This window comes from Homo sapiens, chromosome 4 (genome assembly GCF_000001405.40).
Source record: "Homo sapiens chromosome 4, GRCh38.p14 Primary Assembly".
NCBI lineage: Eukaryota > Metazoa > Chordata > Mammalia > Primates > Hominidae > Homo > Homo sapiens.
Window position 1 is genome coordinate 153,792,829 of NC_000004.12, and position 19,149 is coordinate 153,811,977.

General features: G+C 40.6%; 3 annotated features.

The window, feature by feature from the left end:
• Positions 96-265: an enhancer, noted in NCBI's record as "experimental_74859 CRE fragment used in MPRA reporter constructs". NCBI's record gives its function as "activates a minimal promoter by MPRAs in K562 erythroleukemia cells, with activity observed for both the introgressed and non-introgressed 4:154714161 variant alleles {active_cell/tissue: K562}" and the evidence as "EXISTENCE:reporter gene assay evidence [ECO:0000049][PMID:34662402]".
• Positions 11,622-11,791: an enhancer, noted in NCBI's record as "experimental_74875 CRE fragment used in MPRA reporter constructs". NCBI's record gives its function as "activates a minimal promoter by MPRAs in K562 erythroleukemia cells, with activity observed for both the introgressed and non-introgressed 4:154725687 variant alleles {active_cell/tissue: K562}" and the evidence as "EXISTENCE:reporter gene assay evidence [ECO:0000049][PMID:34662402]".
• Positions 13,503-13,672: an enhancer, noted in NCBI's record as "experimental_74882 CRE fragment used in MPRA reporter constructs". NCBI's record gives its function as "activates a minimal promoter by MPRAs in K562 erythroleukemia cells, with activity observed for the non-introgressed 4:154727568 variant allele {active_cell/tissue: K562}" and the evidence as "EXISTENCE:reporter gene assay evidence [ECO:0000049][PMID:34662402]".

Below are 19,149 nucleotides of genomic sequence, written 5' to 3' on the forward strand. Positions count from 1 at the left end.
CGAGACCAGAGTCTGCGTCTGGAGAGCCTTTGCCCCTCATCTTAGGAAGAGTCTAGTCTGAGAACAAACAGTTTGCCAACTCCTACCCCGAGCTCTTGCGCGTATCTCCTTAAATATTTCAAGGGTCTGGGCCCCAGATGGGTGCTCGGAAAGCAAACGAAGGGTCCAGGGAGGCCGAGGCCAACGCGGAGCTCAGCGCCCCCTTCTTGCCTGAAGGGGCGCGCTGGAGGAGGAAGGGCGCGGCGGAGACGCAGAAGGCGGTTCCTTGGGGGCAAAGCAGGAGCCAGTCTGGGGCCTACCCCTTCTCGCCCTGAGGGATTCTGTCCTGGAGAGAACTGTAATTGCCCAGGTCTGTGTAAGCAATCTGGTCTGTGGGTTCAAAGCCAGTGTGAACCCCACGTTCCCGAGACCTCTTTGCCCCAACCAAGTACAGCGAAGTTTTGAAGCTCAGTAGAAAATGACTAAAAAACAGTCCAAACTCCAAAATGATAAAAACAAGTACACCTACAAGGATAATCTTCTGCAACAGAACATTTTCTTGTTCTTCCCCACCCCATGAGTGTTTTAGTCCACAGCTGACTGGGAATAGACTGAACGCTATTTTGTACTATGCTTCTCTCAGGAAGATAGAGGCATATCATGGAGGCTGGCCGTGGGTTGGTGCCTTGGCAGAGACCAGTTTCTGTTTCTTCTGTTGTTCCTTCAATAAGAAAATAGCCCTAGAAATTTTGGGAGAATGAATGGGGCGAAGGCATGGCATGTCTTTTTTGTATCTCTGGGCTGCTTCTGATTAAAAAACAACAACCAAAAAAAAAAAAAAAAACAAAAAAAACCACACACACAAAAATCCTCGAGGGCAGTTCGGCGAGCTCGACTTGTGGGGAGGAAATTCCATTTCTGTTTAGTGCACACGTCCTTACTCTAGCCTTTTATTTATAGCATAAGGTCTCAAATTTGCTGGACCAGTAGAAATTCTTTAGTCTTTGCATTCCAAAATTTGAGATTGATGTTACCGGTGTACATCTATGTTACAATCTTAAATACAGAAATATTTATTGGCACTTCTTTTCTCTCCCCTGTCCCTTTCTTCCCAACTTTCCCTGTCTCTTTTTGGGGTCCTAGTAGGTTATTGCTCACTGATGTGTTGCAACTGCTGATGAGACCCTTGAAATGAAGTATCTCTTAATTGCTCACATTAGAAAATCCTGAATGGAAACAGCAAAAACCCAAGGCCATTCACGCAGGGTGGTCCACAAGCCACAGAGTGTCTCCAAAAAGACCCGTTCCATTGTCTGATTTGAACAGCAGGTTCAAACACTGGCTAAGCTGGTGTTTCACTCTGGTGAGAATTTATTGCCATCAGATAAGAGCACAAAGTCAATACAATAAAGCCTGTAGGCTCTAAAGCAACAGATGGAATCTGAGTTCCTGCACACACGTATGATCTTTCCAGAGACAAATCACAGAATAAAAAGCCCTTTGTCATTCTTACTGAAGTGACTTTTAGGAAAACTTTTCCATACCCTGCGTGTGTGTGTCTGTTTGGGTCTTTCTCTATAACGATAGGTTTTTATGCTGCTTAAACTGAGACATTTGTCAGAATCATTAAAGCAGTTTATCCTTTTATGACATATACTCAGCTTTAGTAAGTCACAGGATTCACAGCAACACAATTAAATCTGTTAATCAGAAAAGCGTGTGTTTTTGGCTGATTTAGAGCTAAGTGTGTAATCTGTAATTTCAAACCATAGTATCCAGCATATGCAGATTTAGCACTCTGACTGAATTCATTGGCACTACCAACAAAGTTTCATTAGTAGGCCTAATATTTCCGAATACTTTGTAAATCTCTGGAGGTACAATGGGGAGTGACATGCTATATAGAAATAATATTTCCAAATGTTAAATTTGGTTCCTGGTGGATTTGGTTCCTTGGTAGTCTGTGAAATGTCTAGTGATCATCTTAGCTATGTTGTCCAGAGTTTTGCTGTTTTCCCTTAGTTTCCTGGAAATCTTAATGAATTAAAGAAATTCATGATTAAGTTCTGCTCTGGAAGAAAATAAGAGAGTGCTTTTGTGAGTATAGTTGATTTGTTATTATTCTTTATGTCCCAGTTTGTCTAGAGTTTGAAGATGAGCAAGATTATCTGAGGTTTTTCTGTTATCAATTCTTGTCTGGAACACATACTGAAAACCTGTCTTTCATTCCTTTCCATTGGTATTAATAAGTTGAAACCCTTTGCTTGTTATGCTAGTTATTGTTCCATTCAGAGGAATTAGGGATAGTAGGGATGGGGTAGGGAAGAAGAAGGAGGGAGTCACTCTTGCTTGTACCCAGCTTCAAAATCAGATTCCTTGCATTTTGAATTTTTTTGGGAAAGGGTACATTATTCCCCAGGATATTCCCATGGTGTCTGAATGATTCCATAGGTAGTCACTGGAATGATTTTCATGGGATGTCACCATATCACCACAGGCAGGACAATATTCAGCTCTGCTCTTCTCTGTAACCATAGATGATATAATTAGGAACCTGAAACCTTAAAGATGGAATTCCCCAAGTTCCTTGGGGTTTAATTTCATTCATCCAGTCAAAAGACTGTTGGGCCTCTACCATGAGCTATGAGGGTAATAAAAAAGATCTACGCCTTTGAGGGATTTTTCTTAGTATTTGCAGGTAAAAGTAAAATTTCTGCTTGTCTGCATTTAGCTTAAACGTAAAAAAGGTACATATTTCTGAGAGTAAAGCCTTATTCCCAGTATACTTGGATAAAGGGTGAAGGCTTATGAAGATCCTCATACAGTGAAATAATCGGTGTTGCTCAGTAAAGGAGTAACCAAGCAAAGGCTAACAATTCATTTGCTGGTCATGTCTGAGGACTTCAGTTGCTTTTTGAATTGTGATAGAATAAGCTTTATTAGAAAGCAGACTACTAGAGAAAAATTCTGGAAAAGATCTTGAGAAATTTGTTCCTTGCCCTCCCATAAGACCAGCTTAAATGAACAAAGGGAGATTATACTCTGTTCAGTTTATAAATTTACTTTCAGAGAATTGCATTCCATCTTAAAAACCCTAAATTGTAGTAGATACTTGGGAAATTCTCATGACCTACCAGATGAATGATGGATCTTGAACAATTGCATTTCCCCAAAAAACAGCTAAGAAATATGCTGATAGTCATATTGTGTTTCCCAAATCAACAGGAATGAATTGAAAATTAAACTGAGTTCATATGAAGCTTTTCACTCACAGCTTGCTTCCCCCACCCCAAATGCTTCTTTTTGTGTATAAAAGTTATACAACTCCATGTAAAAATTTCAGACAAGACAGAAAGTTATCAAGAGAAAAGTGGAAATCTCTAATGTCACTGCTTGGATCCACACAAAAAAGTTATATTCTTTAACTTAAGAAAATAAACATACATGAAGCAGCATAAAAATGCAGTAACATGGCACATACTATTTATAACAACTTTCCACATGTCAAAATGGAGATCTAAGCTCTAATAAGTTACCTTTGAATATACTATTCAAGTCATATTCAGTTTCGGGAGTGGATGCGTGTTATTGATGGCTCCTCTCTAGTTTCCTCCCGTTCTCAGGTGGTGCTGCTTGCACAGTGGCTGAATTATGCATCGTGATCAGGATGGCTCTGGGTGAGCATCTTACTGTCCAGATTTCTGCCAATATGCAAGTTTGATTATAATACCTCTGACACTTGGGTAGATTGGCCAGAACTCAGAAACTGTTTTTCTTCTACTTTTCAGTATGATATTTCCTGTATCAACTTATTTGAAAAGAGGAATTTTAGATTTGCAAGGAAAAAAAGAGCTGTTCTCTTAACCTCAAAAATGACATGGTTAGAATTTGGGAAGGGTTAGCTCTTACTTTTCTGAATCAATTTTTCCCATCCATGTATTTCAAATATCGCTTTGTGCAGAGAATGTACTTTGGGAAGCAGAATTTTCTGGTTCCTGGAGAACATGCTTGGAAGGCCCAATTCTGCCTTCCATGAGGGTGATTGACAGGGAAGGTGTGGGGAAGTTGAGGCAACGTAGTCTGGGGGATGAAGGTGTTCACTGTTAAGTGTAGCTTTGGAAGGGGACAGTGTCAGATCTATTCTGACACTGTCAGAGGTGTGGTGTTCCTTTTGTTCACAGAGTGTGTGCTTACAAGTCCTCTAATAAGGATCTTTATGTTGGCATGAAATAGCTGGAAACTGATTTTTATGTTGTGTCTATCTATAGTTTTCCAGAATTAATTTAGCTCAAATAGATTTTTGATTTACAAGATATACAGGGCTATCCTTTATGCACAAGGATGGTCCTGTGAACATTGATCACTAAGATATATGCCATTACTTGCTTTTATAGAAATAAAGAAAATGTATACTGATTTATGCAAATCATCTTTCCCAATTCTCCTTAGAAGCACACATTAGTACTCATTTTTTTTAGTGCAGTAGGGTTAAAATGATGTTTGGCTATTTATAGAGCAAGTTGACTAGTTTACTCAGAAATTGTACCTATGGCTCTGGGCTTCAGTATGATGCAAATCATGGATCACACACAGTACTGTATTATAATCACCACCAAACAACTAAAGTTTGTCTCTCACTAATGCAAAGTTTTCTGTTGAGGAGAGGGGCCTTCTAGGGCAGCAGTTTTCCCAGTTCAGCATTCTTAGCTGCTTGATATCATGGTATTCCCATATCAAGATATGCTCCTGTAATCACTGAATAGGCAAAGAGAAGGCTGGTGAATCCATCACTGGAAGTTAAATAGTTTCCTTCAGAAGTGACACGTCACTTTCACTCATATTCTATTAGCCAAATCAGCAAGAAGGCCAGCCCTAGCTTCAGAAGAGTGGAACATGTAGTCCTGCCAGTGGCTAGAAGTGGAGAAGAACTGGCTATTAGGGACTGATGCTTACCACATATATGTTGACATTTCAAATGTATTGCTTTGAATAGTGCTTAAGACACTATTGATCAGTACCTGTCAAGTGATGAATAAATGTTGAGATTTATAGATTGACGTGCTGAAAAGTTGGGGCTAGTGAACAGACTGACAATTGGGAAATATTACATGAAACTTTTTCTATAGTTATGCTTTGGTTTCTATCAGAGCAGAATCTATAGGTTATGATCCAGTTCCACTGCATTTGTAACTAGCAATGTCAACTGACATGAAGAAATAAAAATAGGCTACTGTTAGGAGAGCTAGAGAAATATAATGTAACTCCCTAGAACTAGAATGCCTATGCTGATGGTCCTATGAAAGTTTTCCTACATTTCTAATGGATAATTTTAATTAACTCCTATAGGAGTTTCCCATAGGAACAACTATAGGAAATCAAAGCATTACCAAGAAGACATAGCACAGAAAATGTGCTTTAAAAATCTTCTTATATTATAGATCTGAGAAAGAGAATGCTTACAAAAATGTAACCTGGGGGAGTAAAGCACTTTTAAGAAAGAAAAGTACTTTCTGAATTAACTTTCTTTAATCAAATAAAATCCTTGAGCCAACTGAAATGTGATGGGGCTGTAGCTAGGGATACACATTTATGATATATTTGTATAGCATGCATTACTGGTCCTCATGAATTAAATTTTCTTTTTGCATTTCGCGGTGATCCAGCTATGAAAATATGTTCATGAAATGTAAACTGCCAGGAGATTAGATAAATACCATAGATTGAGGGAAGGAAGATAAAGGAACCCTCCAAGATATTTTGTTGCTCTTGTTTTCTGTGGAACAAGGAATGGCAAAAAGAGGAAGAACATGCTTCAACACTCCCCAGGGGAGGGCAGTCAGAGTCTTATCGTCAGAGAGGGGGAAATGAGGATTGCAGATGTTTTCTTAAATTCTCTTCTTCAGCATTGTTACAACCAAAGAAAGCAAATCCTGTGATTTAATTTCAGATATATATTTGGTGCTGGGACATATCAGTGTCCCTTAGGCTGATATCTGGGACAGGCTGATAGGAAGAACTCAAATTGTGTTCAAATCTGGTTTCACTACTTTCCAGCTGTGAGATCCTGAACAAATCATGTAAACTCTTCATGCCTTAGTTTCCTCATCCATAAAATGGGGTTAATAATAGCACCTAGCGAGGATTAAAAAAGAAAAAGCACTTAGGAGAAGTACATAGTGTTTTCTGTGTGTGTTATTTTTATTTCATCAGGTATACAGTAGTGTAGCCAACTCCACCCACAGAAGCTTCCTCTGGGAACTTATCGTGCAGATGTAATGCGGTGTTAGGAGACTTACCCAGGTCATAAATAAAGTCCCAAATCATTAGCAGAGTTGGAGTGCTGCTCTGCTGTTAAGGATGGGGCTGGGAATGAACTCCCAGTATCATCCCAGGCAGGGAAGGATGTTAAGGATGGGGCTGGGAATGAACTCCCAGTATCATCCCAGGCAGGGAAGGATGTTAAGGATGGGGCTGGGAATGAACTCCACAGCATCATCCCAGGCAGGGAAAACAAATCTGACTCACATTTTGTTGCATGTTCAAAAGAAAATCAGGCTCACTAAATTAAAAAGAGATCTAATTATTTAAAAAATGTTGTTACTGTTGTTGGAATTTGAATTTTAAATCAAAATTATATTGCAAAATAGATGACAAGTAGTTGAAATATTAACTGAGGGAAACAGTTTTGGCACTCCAAGAAAAACCCTTGTAATTAATCTTCACTGGTAATCTCCTCAGGCTAACCATTACTAATTAGAAACATGTTTTGTCAACCCATCCAGACTTTAAGCCTGGTGATGGTAGGAGTATATTTTTTTGTACTGCCATAGCCCCAAGACTGAGTAGTATGCTTTGCATACAGCAAATGTATAATCAATGAAGTTTGTTACTACTTTGCACTGAGGGCTAAACATAACATCATACACTTAAGGCAAACACAGAACAGAAGGCTTTTCCTGGGATGGAGCTATTCTCTTTTCCAATCACGTGCTGTTGTTGAGAGACCATCTATGTGGAAAGAGTGATTTGGTTCTGACAGTGTGAGCCACAACATCTGGAGTCTGGCCCTCCACCCCAGGCCTTGACCTTCTCAGTCAGAAACAGTAGATAAATAGTGCCTGTAGAGAAATGATTTAATCAGCAAAAAGATGCAACCTTGTAAAATCCACGAGGGCAACATGACTAGTGTTTTACAGATAAGTTCATACTGAGTATCATTCTTAGCATAAAGGCATTTACAGTCTTTACTTGATAAGTTATCAGAAGAGGCTTCTGTGCTTTGGGTGCAGATGATATAATTCTCAGCTTCCCATTCCTACCTGCTCTACTTTGCTGACCGACACGGTTTTATTAACCATGCCCCTTCCTACTCTCTTAGAAGGCTGGCATGCTTACAGGTGCTCTCTTAATGTGATTCAGACTTTGTGTTACTTTTTTTTTATTGTGGTAAAATACACTGTATGTTAACATAAAATTTACCATTTTAACCTTTTTAAATTTTTTTTAAATTTTTTATTTTTTAAAGAGACAGGGTCTTGTTCTGTCACCCAGGCTGGAGTGCAGTGGCATGATCATAGCTCACTGCAGCCTCAAACTTCTGGGCTCAGGGGATCTGCTTGCCTCAGCCTTCCGAAGTGCTGGGATTACAGGCATAAGCCATTGTGCCTGGCCCCATTTTAATCATTTTAAAGTGTACAGTTCAGTGGCATTAAGTATATGTGTCCACTTTAAAAATCAAAATATTATTCACATTTTGGGGCATTTACTACTTATTAACACTTTTACCAAAGGAAAACCTGGCACAGAAGAGCAGGGACACCCTTATCACATAATGAGTTCTCTCAGCAGCAGCTGATTGTAAAATGAGTTGGTAGAGTAGGAATTAGAATTTATTGACTAAAGCAGAAATGTTGTGTTAGCCGTAGCCATTATTCTTTTTTTTTGATTTCTCGACATTTTTATTAATTATTTTGTTTTTTTACAGCTTGATCCTCTTATGAAAAGGAAAGAATTTAAAGATGAACAATTACATTTTTGTTTAAACGGCAATTAATCCTTATTACAGAGAACAAAAGATCTGTGGCACATTGTCTTTGGAAAGATCTTTTGCAGATTTTTCTTCTAAAACAACTATAATTCTCTCACAGATCACATATTCTCTTTCAAACGACTATACAAGGCAGCTACACTTTATTCACAAAGCCCCAAGTTGCAGTTCCATTGCTGAAGCAGGTAAAATACATGGAGTTCCCCTTAATTTGTGTTGCACATCTTCCCATTGAGAGCATCACTGCTTCCCTACCCTATGTACAAAATCATTGTGTTGATGATAGCTGGCACGTTATTCCACAGTAATTAAAGAAAAACTCATTATTTTAAAGCTAGACCATTGATTTTCATTTATCAACTGGAAAATTTACTCCTTTTTAAAACAATTTTAATAATACCAAGATTTGACTTTCCTCCAAAGTTATAAGAAAGCAAAAAATATATAATATAATATAATATAATATAATATAATATAATATAATATAATATACAATGGTAATAAAAAAAAGGCAACCTTGCTCAGGTATCACCCAAAACATGATCACATTCAGAAAAAAAAAATTAAAACAAGATTTGGGACACATGCGTGCGTACATACATACACACACACACACACACACACACCCCAACATGAACAGTGTATACTCGATATCTGAGGGGGATGTGCAGTAATTTTAACAATACATGTTGATGGCCTGAACGAAAGGTGAAGTTAATACTGCCTGTGTTAAGCATTGCTTAAAAAATCTACTTTTAAGCAAAGCAAGTTGTCTTCCTTAGGTCAGCCACTGCCTGGTCCAACCAGTGCAGTTTGGCCAGCCTCACTATGAGTGGTCTTATTCCCTTGTCCTCTCCAGGCCGATATACTAATATATAGGCTCACAAGGAGCTGTAGGGTTTCCCTCCTGCCCTCTTAGGTAGAGAAGTATAGGCACTTCTCTACCCAGTACAGTGCCTGCTGATCTCAGACGCTCAGTGGAACAGAATATAGTGTCATTTCCCCCTGACAATAAGAAATTTATAGCCATCTGAAGAAAAGCAGTAGTTGGTATTTGTCAACTCACCATAAATAAGAACTGAAGAACATGGTCAGTGCTCACAATTCATGAAGAGATGAACACTCTAAGTCACCGAGAAACCAACACAACTGGATTGCATATTTGAGGTTCACATGGTGGCGATACCACTTGCAGTGTTTGAAAGAAAACCCCTAACACTATGCTATTCTGCCGTTACACCTCCTTCCAATAGAATGACACAAAATAAAGGCACAGGAAAAATACCTTACATCCGTTAATCCTAAGTGGGACCCAAAACAAAAGAGGCAACTGGCTCAAGAACAGGAGGGGAAAAAAGGTACTGCCATAATTGATCCTAGCATCCCTTCATGGCTGCAATGCGTAACTCTCACTTTTCAGTGAGAAAAATCTATACTCTTGTGTTTCTAAAGGAAGCACAAAATATTCTTGCAAGATTTAAATACTGCTAATCAGTGGCAAAGAGTGTAAACAGATGAAATGGCAAAGTTTAAAAGTTTTTTGTTTGGGAAAATAAAGAATCTGTGGTAGGAAGCAAGCAGGTTTAAGTACATTAAAAACAAACAAACAAACACAAAAAAACCGAAAGCCTGGCCTCAGGCCTTAATCTACTTTAAGATGGATGAATACAACTCAAACTTCATAAAGCAGAGGAGTAAAAGGTGCAAGAGCCATGTAGCATCCCTGAAGCCAACCATAGCCATTATTCTTGCTATTCTTTTCTCTCAACAGAATTGGTTAGACTTGCTAATAACTTCACAGAGATCACAGCTCTCTAAGCTGAGTGATTCTTTAAAATGAACACAGTTAGAAGTGGATCTGTAGACCTTTAAGCCAGGTGGAAAATTCTGGAATACTGTTTTCCTGTGGTAACTGCAGTTTTTGAAAGACCACCTCACCTTTCCGTGACTCTGACGGTAGAGACAGGGCGACATCACCTTCCTTCCTACCTGGAAAGACAGTCCTCAGTCCTTTTTCTCTCGTTTGGTAGGAGCCAATCTGTGCTTTAAGGCCTATTTCAAACATTTGTGTCCAAAAAGTAGGGCAAAGATGATGGCAGCAGTAAGACAGCATGCGCTTGAGAAATTTAGGAGCCAAAGGAAGGAGGGGACAGAGGGAGTCAAGTGAAAGTCTTTAAATATGCTTTTGTTTTCATTTTAATTTCTAGATAGGAGAGTATATTTGATGATGGAAGTGATAATTCTCTTCCGTGAGGAAATCAAAGTTTGTAGAGAAAAATGATAGAATCTAAATGTTGGAAGCCAGCTGGTCTATTCTCCACCCAGTGTTATGTCCCTGATGGGGAATCCAAATTTCTCCTGGACGCACACAGGGATGGGGAGCTCCCTCTTGAGCTATTCTCAAGATTACCTAACTCCCTTCACTGTCTCCTGCATTCACCAAGCAACCCTGATCTAGGGAAAGATACTGTATTAATTTGCTAAGGCTGCCATAAGACAATAACTACAGACAGTGTGGCTTAAACAGCAGAAATTAATTTTCTCACAAATCTTGAGGGTAGAAGTCCAAGATCAGAGTGCTGGCAGGGTTAGTTTCCTCTGAGTCCTTTCTCCTTGGCTTGCAGATGGCTGCCTCTTGTTGCCTCATCACAGGGTTGTTCCTCTGTATAAGCACATCCCTGGTATCTCTCCCTCTTCTTATTAGCACACCAGTCATATTGGATTAGGACCCAACCTCAATGACCTAATTTTAATTTAATCACCTCCTGAAAGAGTTTATCTTCAAACATGGTTACATTCTGAGGTACTGGGAGTTGGGATTTCAATATACAAATTTTGGGAGGTAGAGGACACAATTCAGCCCCTAAGAGATGCTCTGGATGGAGTCATACCAGGACACTCCAGTGAGCCACAGAAATCTTGCAGATGTGCTGAGATATCGATTCCTTTAGTCTTTGAGGTGGCTGTTTAGGGTGAGGGGCTACTGGGCACCAAGAGGAGCTGCCAAATTTACTCCAGTGTATCTTTCAAAGATCAACATTTCTATTAGTGGCACAATGCAAAAAATACTGTGAAGCACTGGTGGAAGACCCATATATTCCAGCAACTATAACGATTATGTTTATTATTCTAAATTAATATGTTGTCTCGCAAAGCGGACATGAACACTCATCACCACTGTTATGCAGTGTAAATGTAAGATAGGATTTATTTGGAGGACAAAACTTAAAGCAGAGAAGTGCATAGGAACCTCCAAGCTCTCATGATCCCACACAGAGACACACTTAGGCTAGGCCCAGCTGGAATGGTTGTATCATGAATGGACCCACCCTGTCTTAGTCCATTTGTATCACTATAACAGTATACCACAGACTGGGTAGTTTATAAAGAAAAGAAGCTTATTCCTTATTGTTCTGGAGGCTGGGAAGTCCAGTATCAAGATGGTGGCATCTGGCAAGGGTCTTCTTGCTGTGTCATCCCAAGGTGGAGGGTGAGAGAGGGAGAAAGGGGAAGACAGCAAGCAAGAGAGGGCTGAACTCCATTTGATAAAAAACTCACTCTTGCAATAATGAATCCATTCCTGCGATAGCAACATTAATCTATTCATGAGAGCAGAACCCTCAGGACCTAATCACCCCTTAAAGGTCCCACTTCTTAACACTATTGCATTGGGGATTACAGTTTCCAGAAGTGGACTTTGGGGCACACATTCAAACCATAGCACACCTGTACAATGCTCCATGTCAGTGCTGCTCACGGTGTACTCCATTGGCTGGCAGTTAGTTGCCAGTCCATGAGGGACACAAGGAGATGGCACCAGTATGTAAATCTGCTATGTCCCTAAGCACAATGTGTAGTTCAGCAGGCATTTTATTTTCTTGTAGCAAGGCTTCCTTGATGAAGACAGTAGTGTGTTGATTTACAGTGTGATACAACTTTCAGGCCCATATCAAACAGTTCCAGTCTGTCCTTTGAGCATAGGGACTTATGAGCAGAAAGCATTAATGGAGGCCTCTGGTGGGGGAAGTGGCCTCATTAGGAAAGAAAGTCTTTGAGGCTCAGCAGCTGCTGTCAGCTTGGATTCCTCGGAGCTAACTCAGATTTGCTGAGTCAGCTTCTAAGCTAACAAACGTTGGAAGAAGTGAGCCTTCAGGGTTGTCCAGCTTTATTTCTCCTCACATACTATCCTTTAGGCCTATTATCAATTTCTTTAGTATGTGATAAGCCTCCGATCAATTCTCTATGCACTGACAGATTGTGTTTCTGGATCTGCAATACTGAAGACCATGCTCTGGTCTATGGTGACACAGGAAACTACTGCCACCTTTTGAGCAGCTGACCGTCCACCCAGCCACACTTTCTGACATCTTTCCATCAGGAAATACTTGACACACAGTATTTTCTTTTTTCTCATTTTCTACAGGATCTGATTAATTTAACAGTTTCCTTTGCCCTGTTTCAGTCATGAGCCTTGATGCTATCTTTGACACCGTACTTATCTCCTTTATCTTTTTAATTATCATTTTAAACATCCTTGTTACTCAATTTGTGTGTGTGCGGGTAATAAGTAGTGTTCTCAAACATTTTTCTATTTACTCCCAAGAATTGTTAGAAGCTGCTGATAATAGTTTCTGTCTTAATTGTTTTTTGACCATGGAATTTGGTAGTATGGCTGCATTTGGATGATTCATCCCTCCTTCTCAGATTTTCATTTGATGTCTTGCTCTTTTTCCGATGAGGAAACTGCCTTTGAAGTGCATTTCCACCTGACTTTCCACTCTTCACCTATCAGTGGTCCAGTATTTAGGCATCATAAACCAGGATCTAGACAAGTGAACTTATTCTTTGACCTTATTTACATAGCAAGTTGCTCATTTTCTATGCCCTCTTCCTTCCCAAATTGTTATCTCCAACTGGAAAGACAGATGAAAATTCAAGATAGGTCTCCATGTGCCAGTTTGTGCAGGATTTCAAAGCCACTTCAGGTGTAATCCCTATTTCTTCGAGGAACGTTAAGTGGCCTGAAAATTGAAGGAGAAAAAAGATGGAATATCTCCTCAAGCGTACAGATGAAGACAGCCAGGTGACCTTGAGAAAGTTACTTTACCTCTTTGTCTTGCTTTCTTTCTCTATGAAATGAAAATCATGTGTAATGAAATAAAACACATAGGAAACAAATGCTTAATTATGTTTGTGCATTAATGAAGCTGAGTTGACTTATTTCATGGGTGTGTACATTTTGAGAGGTGACAACGTGCTAGCAGCCCTGGCTCGCTCTCAGCGCCTCCTCGGCCTTGGCGTCCGCTCCGGCCGTGCTCGAGGAGCCCTTCATTCCTCCGCTGCACTGTGGGGTCCCCTCTCTGGGGCTGGCCGAGGCCGCAACCGGCTCCCTCTGCTCGCGGGGAGGTGTGGAAGGAAAGGCATGGGCGGGAGCCAGACGGTGCGGTTCCGGATGGCTGTGGCCCCGCACTCGGCGTGGCCAGCTGGCGCCTGCTGGGCTTGATCGAAGGCTGGGTCTTGTGCGTGGACCACCGCTCCCTCTTCGTGGGGTCATTGGCCACGATGGCGGGTCTCCATCTCTTTCTCGCTTCCCCTCTTTTCCTCTTGGTTGTCTGGGATGAGCTCCCTCTGGGCTGCCAGGGTGCCTGGGATAGGCACTGCAAAATCCAGCCAGGGTACCAGTGAGAGGTGAAGCTGGCTGGGTTTCTCCCACGGGTGGGGACTTGGAGAACTTTTGGGTCTAGCTAAAGGATTGTAAATGCACCATTCAGCCCTCTGTGTCTAGCTAAAGGTTTGTAAATGCACCAATCAGCACTCTGTCAAAACAGACCAGTCAGCTGTCTGTAAAACGGACCAATCAGCTCTCTGTAAAATGGACCAATCAGCTCTCTGTTAAATGGACCAATCAGCTCTCTGTAAAATGGACCAATCAGCAGGATGTGGGTGGGGCCAGATAAGGGAATAAAAGTAGGCCACCTGAGTTAGCAGCGGAAGCCCACGCGGATTTCTTTCCTAATGGTGGAAGTTTTGTTCTTTTGCTCTTAGCAATAAAACTTGCTGCTGCTCACTTTTTGGGTCCATGCTGCGTTTGTAAGATGTAACGCTCATTGTGAAGGTCTGCGGCTTCACTCCCAAAGCCGGTGAGACCATAAACCCACTGGAAGGAACGAGCAACTTCAGATGCACCACCTGTAAGAGCTGTAACACTCACAGCGAGGGTCTGCAACTTCACTCCTGAAGTCAGTGAGTCCACGAACCCACCACTAGGAGTTTCTTCTACTGGTGGAAGAAACTCCGGACGGGTCCGAACATCAGAAGGAACAAACTTCAGATACACCGTCTTCAAGAACTGTAACACACACCGTCAGGGTCCACAGCTTTAGTCTTGAAATCAGTGAGACCAAGAACCTGCAAAGTCTGGACACAATTTCATTGTAGAGGATTTTAATTTAAAATAAAAAATAACTTACAGTACCAAGTCCTTGTATAATGCTTACACTACGAGGACCTGTTTAAGTCCTTTGCATTTATTTATGCAGCTCATGCTATTCTATGGAGTAGGTATGATTGTCTCCATTTTATGAAAGAAGAAGCAAGGCATGAAGATGTTAAAGATCTTGCCTAGGGTCACACAGCTAACAGGTGCTGTCAAGTTATGGAGTCTGTGGCCTTAGAACGTCTATAGCATGGGGCAGGTTTGATTTTCACATGCAGTGTACAAAGTAAAGCCCACTGGGGCTTTCAGAGCCAGAAACCACTCTTCTTAGGATAGAAGTCATTCATGAATATTGAATAAATGACATTTAGACTACCTACTTAAACCAGGCAGGGTTTAGTTAGGAAAAAGTTAACATTTTGGGATCACAAGACAAATTACACTCTTTAGGTCATGGCTTGGTCCATATTATGCAAGAAAACCAAATATCAGATTATGAAAATCTGAATTCTAACACATAGAAACCAGAATAGGAGTGAAACTTCTTAGGGATACACACAACTATATAATTTAGATTTAAAAAAGAAAAATTGGCCGGGCACGGTGGCTCAAACCTATAATCCCAGCACTTTGGGGGGCTGAGGTGGGTGGATCACGAGGTCAGGAGATTGAGATCATTCTGACCAACAATGTGAAACCTCGTCTCTACCAAAAATACAAAAATTATCTGGGCGTGGTGGCGGGTGCCCACAGTCCCAGCTACTCGGGAGGCTGGGGCAGGAGAATGGCTTGAACCTGGGAGGTGGAGGTTGTAGTGAGCCTAGATTGTGCTACTGCACTCCAGCCTGGAGACAGAGCAAGACTCTGTCTCAAAAAAAAAAAAAAAAAAAAAAAAAAATCACATAATTTTAAAGCTAGAAAAGGCTTTTGGTATTGTTTATAATAACCCTTCTCTTTACAGTAAAGGAAGCTGAGGCTCAGAAAAGTTGAAATACTTGACCAAAGTCATGCAGAGAGTTTGTGAGAGAACTCCTGGTTCATGGCTATTCTCAACAGCCTTGGTGAGTCATGTTTTATGGTGTAGTCTGGGGTTAGATAGCACAACAAAAATCCACTCTGATCTTCTGCGTTAATCAGGCTGACTGCATAGTTACTGAAGCTGCACTTCACCTTGAGTTGTGTACACAAAAGTGTTGAGTTAAAGCCTTTCTGGCCATCATCATGCCAGTCAGAAAGAGAGAATCAAATTTAACAGGGGAGAAAGTAAAAGAAAATAATGGAAGACTGAAACTGCAACAACAAGAAATCTCCGTGTTTCTGACCTTCCTGTCCCCCTTAGAATGGACATAATTTTCTTCAGGAAAAAAAAAAAAAAAGACAAGTAGGAACCATGGTCACCTCTCTTGGACTTCAGTTTATCCCTTCTTCTGTTTTTAAAAAATGCATTCTCTAAAAAGCCCTGGAGTTAAGGCCCTGAGGATCTAACTTAAAATGGATTTCCTTCCCTCCTTCCTTCCTTCCTTCCCTCCTTTCCTCCTTCCCTCCCTCCCTCCTTCCCTCCCTCCCTCCCTCCCTCCTTTCCTCCTTCCCTCCCTCCCTCTCTCCCTCCCTCCTTCCCTCCCTCCCTCCTTCCCTCCTTCCCTCCTTCCCTCCTTCCCTCCTTCCCTCTGTCTGTGCTATTTGTTTTTTTTTCTTTGTTTATTTGAGACAGGGTCTCACTCTGTTTCCCAGGCTGGGGTGCAGTGGCACGATCATGGTTCATGGCAGCCTTGATCTCCTGGGCTCAAGCAATCCTCCCACCTCAACCTCCTGCATATCTGGGACTACAGGCGTGTGCTAATTTTTGTGTGGTGTTTTTTTTTTTTTTTTTTTTTTTTTTTTGAGATAGGATTTCACTATGCTGCCCAGGCTGGTCTTGAATTCTTGGGTTCAAGTGATCCACCCATCTTGTCCTCCCAAAGTGCTGGGATTACAGGCATGAGTCACTGCACCTGGCTATCTGTGATGTTTTTAAAAATACATTTTTTGTATATAAAAAATGGCATCACTTAAAGCTTTTAAAATTTGTGACTGAAATACAGATATCCTGCTTCTCTATCATAGGCTGTGAGTCCAGCAAAGTGCTTAGCACAGAGTAAGTACTCTATACTCAAATACATCAAAGTGACATGATCTGAAATTCATGTCTTTATTCACTAGATGTTCTATGAGAAGCAGGATGTGGTCAAAAAGGTTGCAAGAAAGTGAGAAAACCACCTCATGATGGTGCCTGGGCACATCAGTACTCTTGCAGCTTGAAATTGAGATGAGCCATTGATTTTCCATGGGTTGAGCACATGATACCATCAGGTAGGTTTTAAGCAAGTCTTCTGGGATTTCATACTTAATCAGTAATGCAGTGAGTTTCCATTGCAACTGAAAGGCATTTATATTGGAAACGGGTGCCAGCTGTAGTGTGATGATTTCTTATTTCCAACCAGCTAGGGAGAGATAATTGCAGGTATTGATAAAGCCATACAGATTCGCTCTATATGGTTCAGTGAACTGCTCTTTTCATTCTGTGTAGACAAATGTTGTTATCGTTTATTTATGACCTGTGAGCAGGTTGTTATATCCTAGATTACTTATATTCAATGAGGCATACTCTTTTATTATTCTTATTTCTTTGCCCTTCTCATTTAATGACTTCTACAAACTCTTCAGTGCAATAGGTTCTTCTATAGCAGCAGAAGAATCATCCTGCTTTGCCTAACGATGCACTGCTCGGTTTCAGCCATCATTGATTGTTCAGTTGGTGGAGCCTGCATCCACCCGACTTCCCTGTTTCTTGTTATGTACACTACTTTCTAATGTCACAGATGCCCTTATGTGATGCGCACTTTCATTTTCTTTATTTGCTTCTGCTTCTGTTCTGGTGTCCCTTCCTATTTTTTTCATGTTACTATGAATTTTGAAAAGTCAATTCTTAAAAAATACTTTTAATTCCATAAAATAAATATTTCAAAACCAACATATTATTTTCACCTTCACTATCCATTTTTTTTCATTTGGACCTAGTTAGCGAATATGGAGGATAAAATTTGTTCATATTGCTCAGAGTATAGTGGTGATTATTCTCCTTGACCTTTGAATATCGTGCACCGAAGAATAGGGAAGTAGTGTTCTAGAACTGAGAATGAAGCATAAATAAGTTCACATGCTGCACTGTTGCCTAAAGCCATAGGAAATTATGTTGACAGTCAAGAGAATGCTGGCAGTCACAGGACACTTCACCTGTTATTTACGCAAAGGCATAGTGCAGGTTCAGTAGCATAGCCTGTGTGGCTTGTGGTTCATGAATCAGACTGCCTAATCCCGGGAACCACAAGGGACATCTGTAAATCCATTGGCCAGTTCCTGAGGTAAGGGCCACAGGCAAACAGACTGTTTCTAGAAAATGGACAGTAGAAAAAGCCTGATGTGGGGTGGGGGGTATCAAAAAATGATATTAATTTTCATAAACACTTTATGAGTTTAAAATACCATGTGTATTTTAATGTGAGACAAACCTCACATTAAGTTTGATAAAATAGAATAACATAATTATGAAAAATTAAAATGGTGACATGCTGATAAATCCACAACAATGAAATCCTTTTGTCAAAGGAATGGGAAAAACTCAATAGAAATATTAGAAAAGCGTGTAAATAATATTTCTTTAGGGAATAAAGAATTAATGTTATCAACATTTTATTCAACAGAACTGAATAGGATTAAAATAATAATTTAGGCTAGGCGTGGTGGCTCCTAGTCACCTAGCCTAATCCTAGCACTTTGAGAGACTGAGGTGGAAGGATCATTTGAGGCCAGGAGTTTGAGACTAGCCTGGGCAACATAGTAAGACTTCCATCTCTAAAAAAAAAAACTAGTCAGACATAGTGGCATGCACCTGTTATCCCAGCTACTCTGGAGGCTGAGGGAGGAGGATCGCTTGAGCCCAGGAGTTCAAGGTTACAGTGAGCTATGATCTCACCACTACCCTCCAGCCTGGGCTACAGAGTGAGACTCTGTGTCAAAAAAAAAAAAAGTTTAAAAAACTTAAAATTGTTTCTCTATATGGAAATCACTTGATTGTCAGACTTCCAGGAAATACCCTGAACAATACCTTGCTAATATTCTTGTACAGATTTGCACATTTCTGAGTTTTTATGTTTTTACCAACTCTGAATGTACAAAACATGTATGCAAAGTGTGTATATTTCTTTCGGTGAGAACTAATAACATGGTAGTTTTCATATGTGAAGGATGGTTATTGCAAGATTGGGATTCTGCTGCAGTTAGCTGTGTAACTCTCTGTTAAGCGGAGGAGAGGGTATGTGGTTGAGGAGTAGGGAGGATGTCATCAACAGATATTTTCTTTCCTAAAATCTCCTTGCTAAATCCTGTTTTTGTTATATAACTGAAGACTGACATTCAACCTTAGAGTTCTTGAGACCCTGGCTGTTGATTAACAGACTCCTGTGAGCAGTCTTTTTGGTGGCCCAGTTTTTTGCTGTGATAGCTAAATGACAGCAGCAACAATGGCAACCCAGACACCTGCAACAACACTGCCACCCATTGAGCCTTGTAAGAAACTTGTGGTGCCCCCTGTGGACTGGTGAATAGGCTAATTCCCCCACTTTGTCCCATAACGTGATGACTTGGGGAC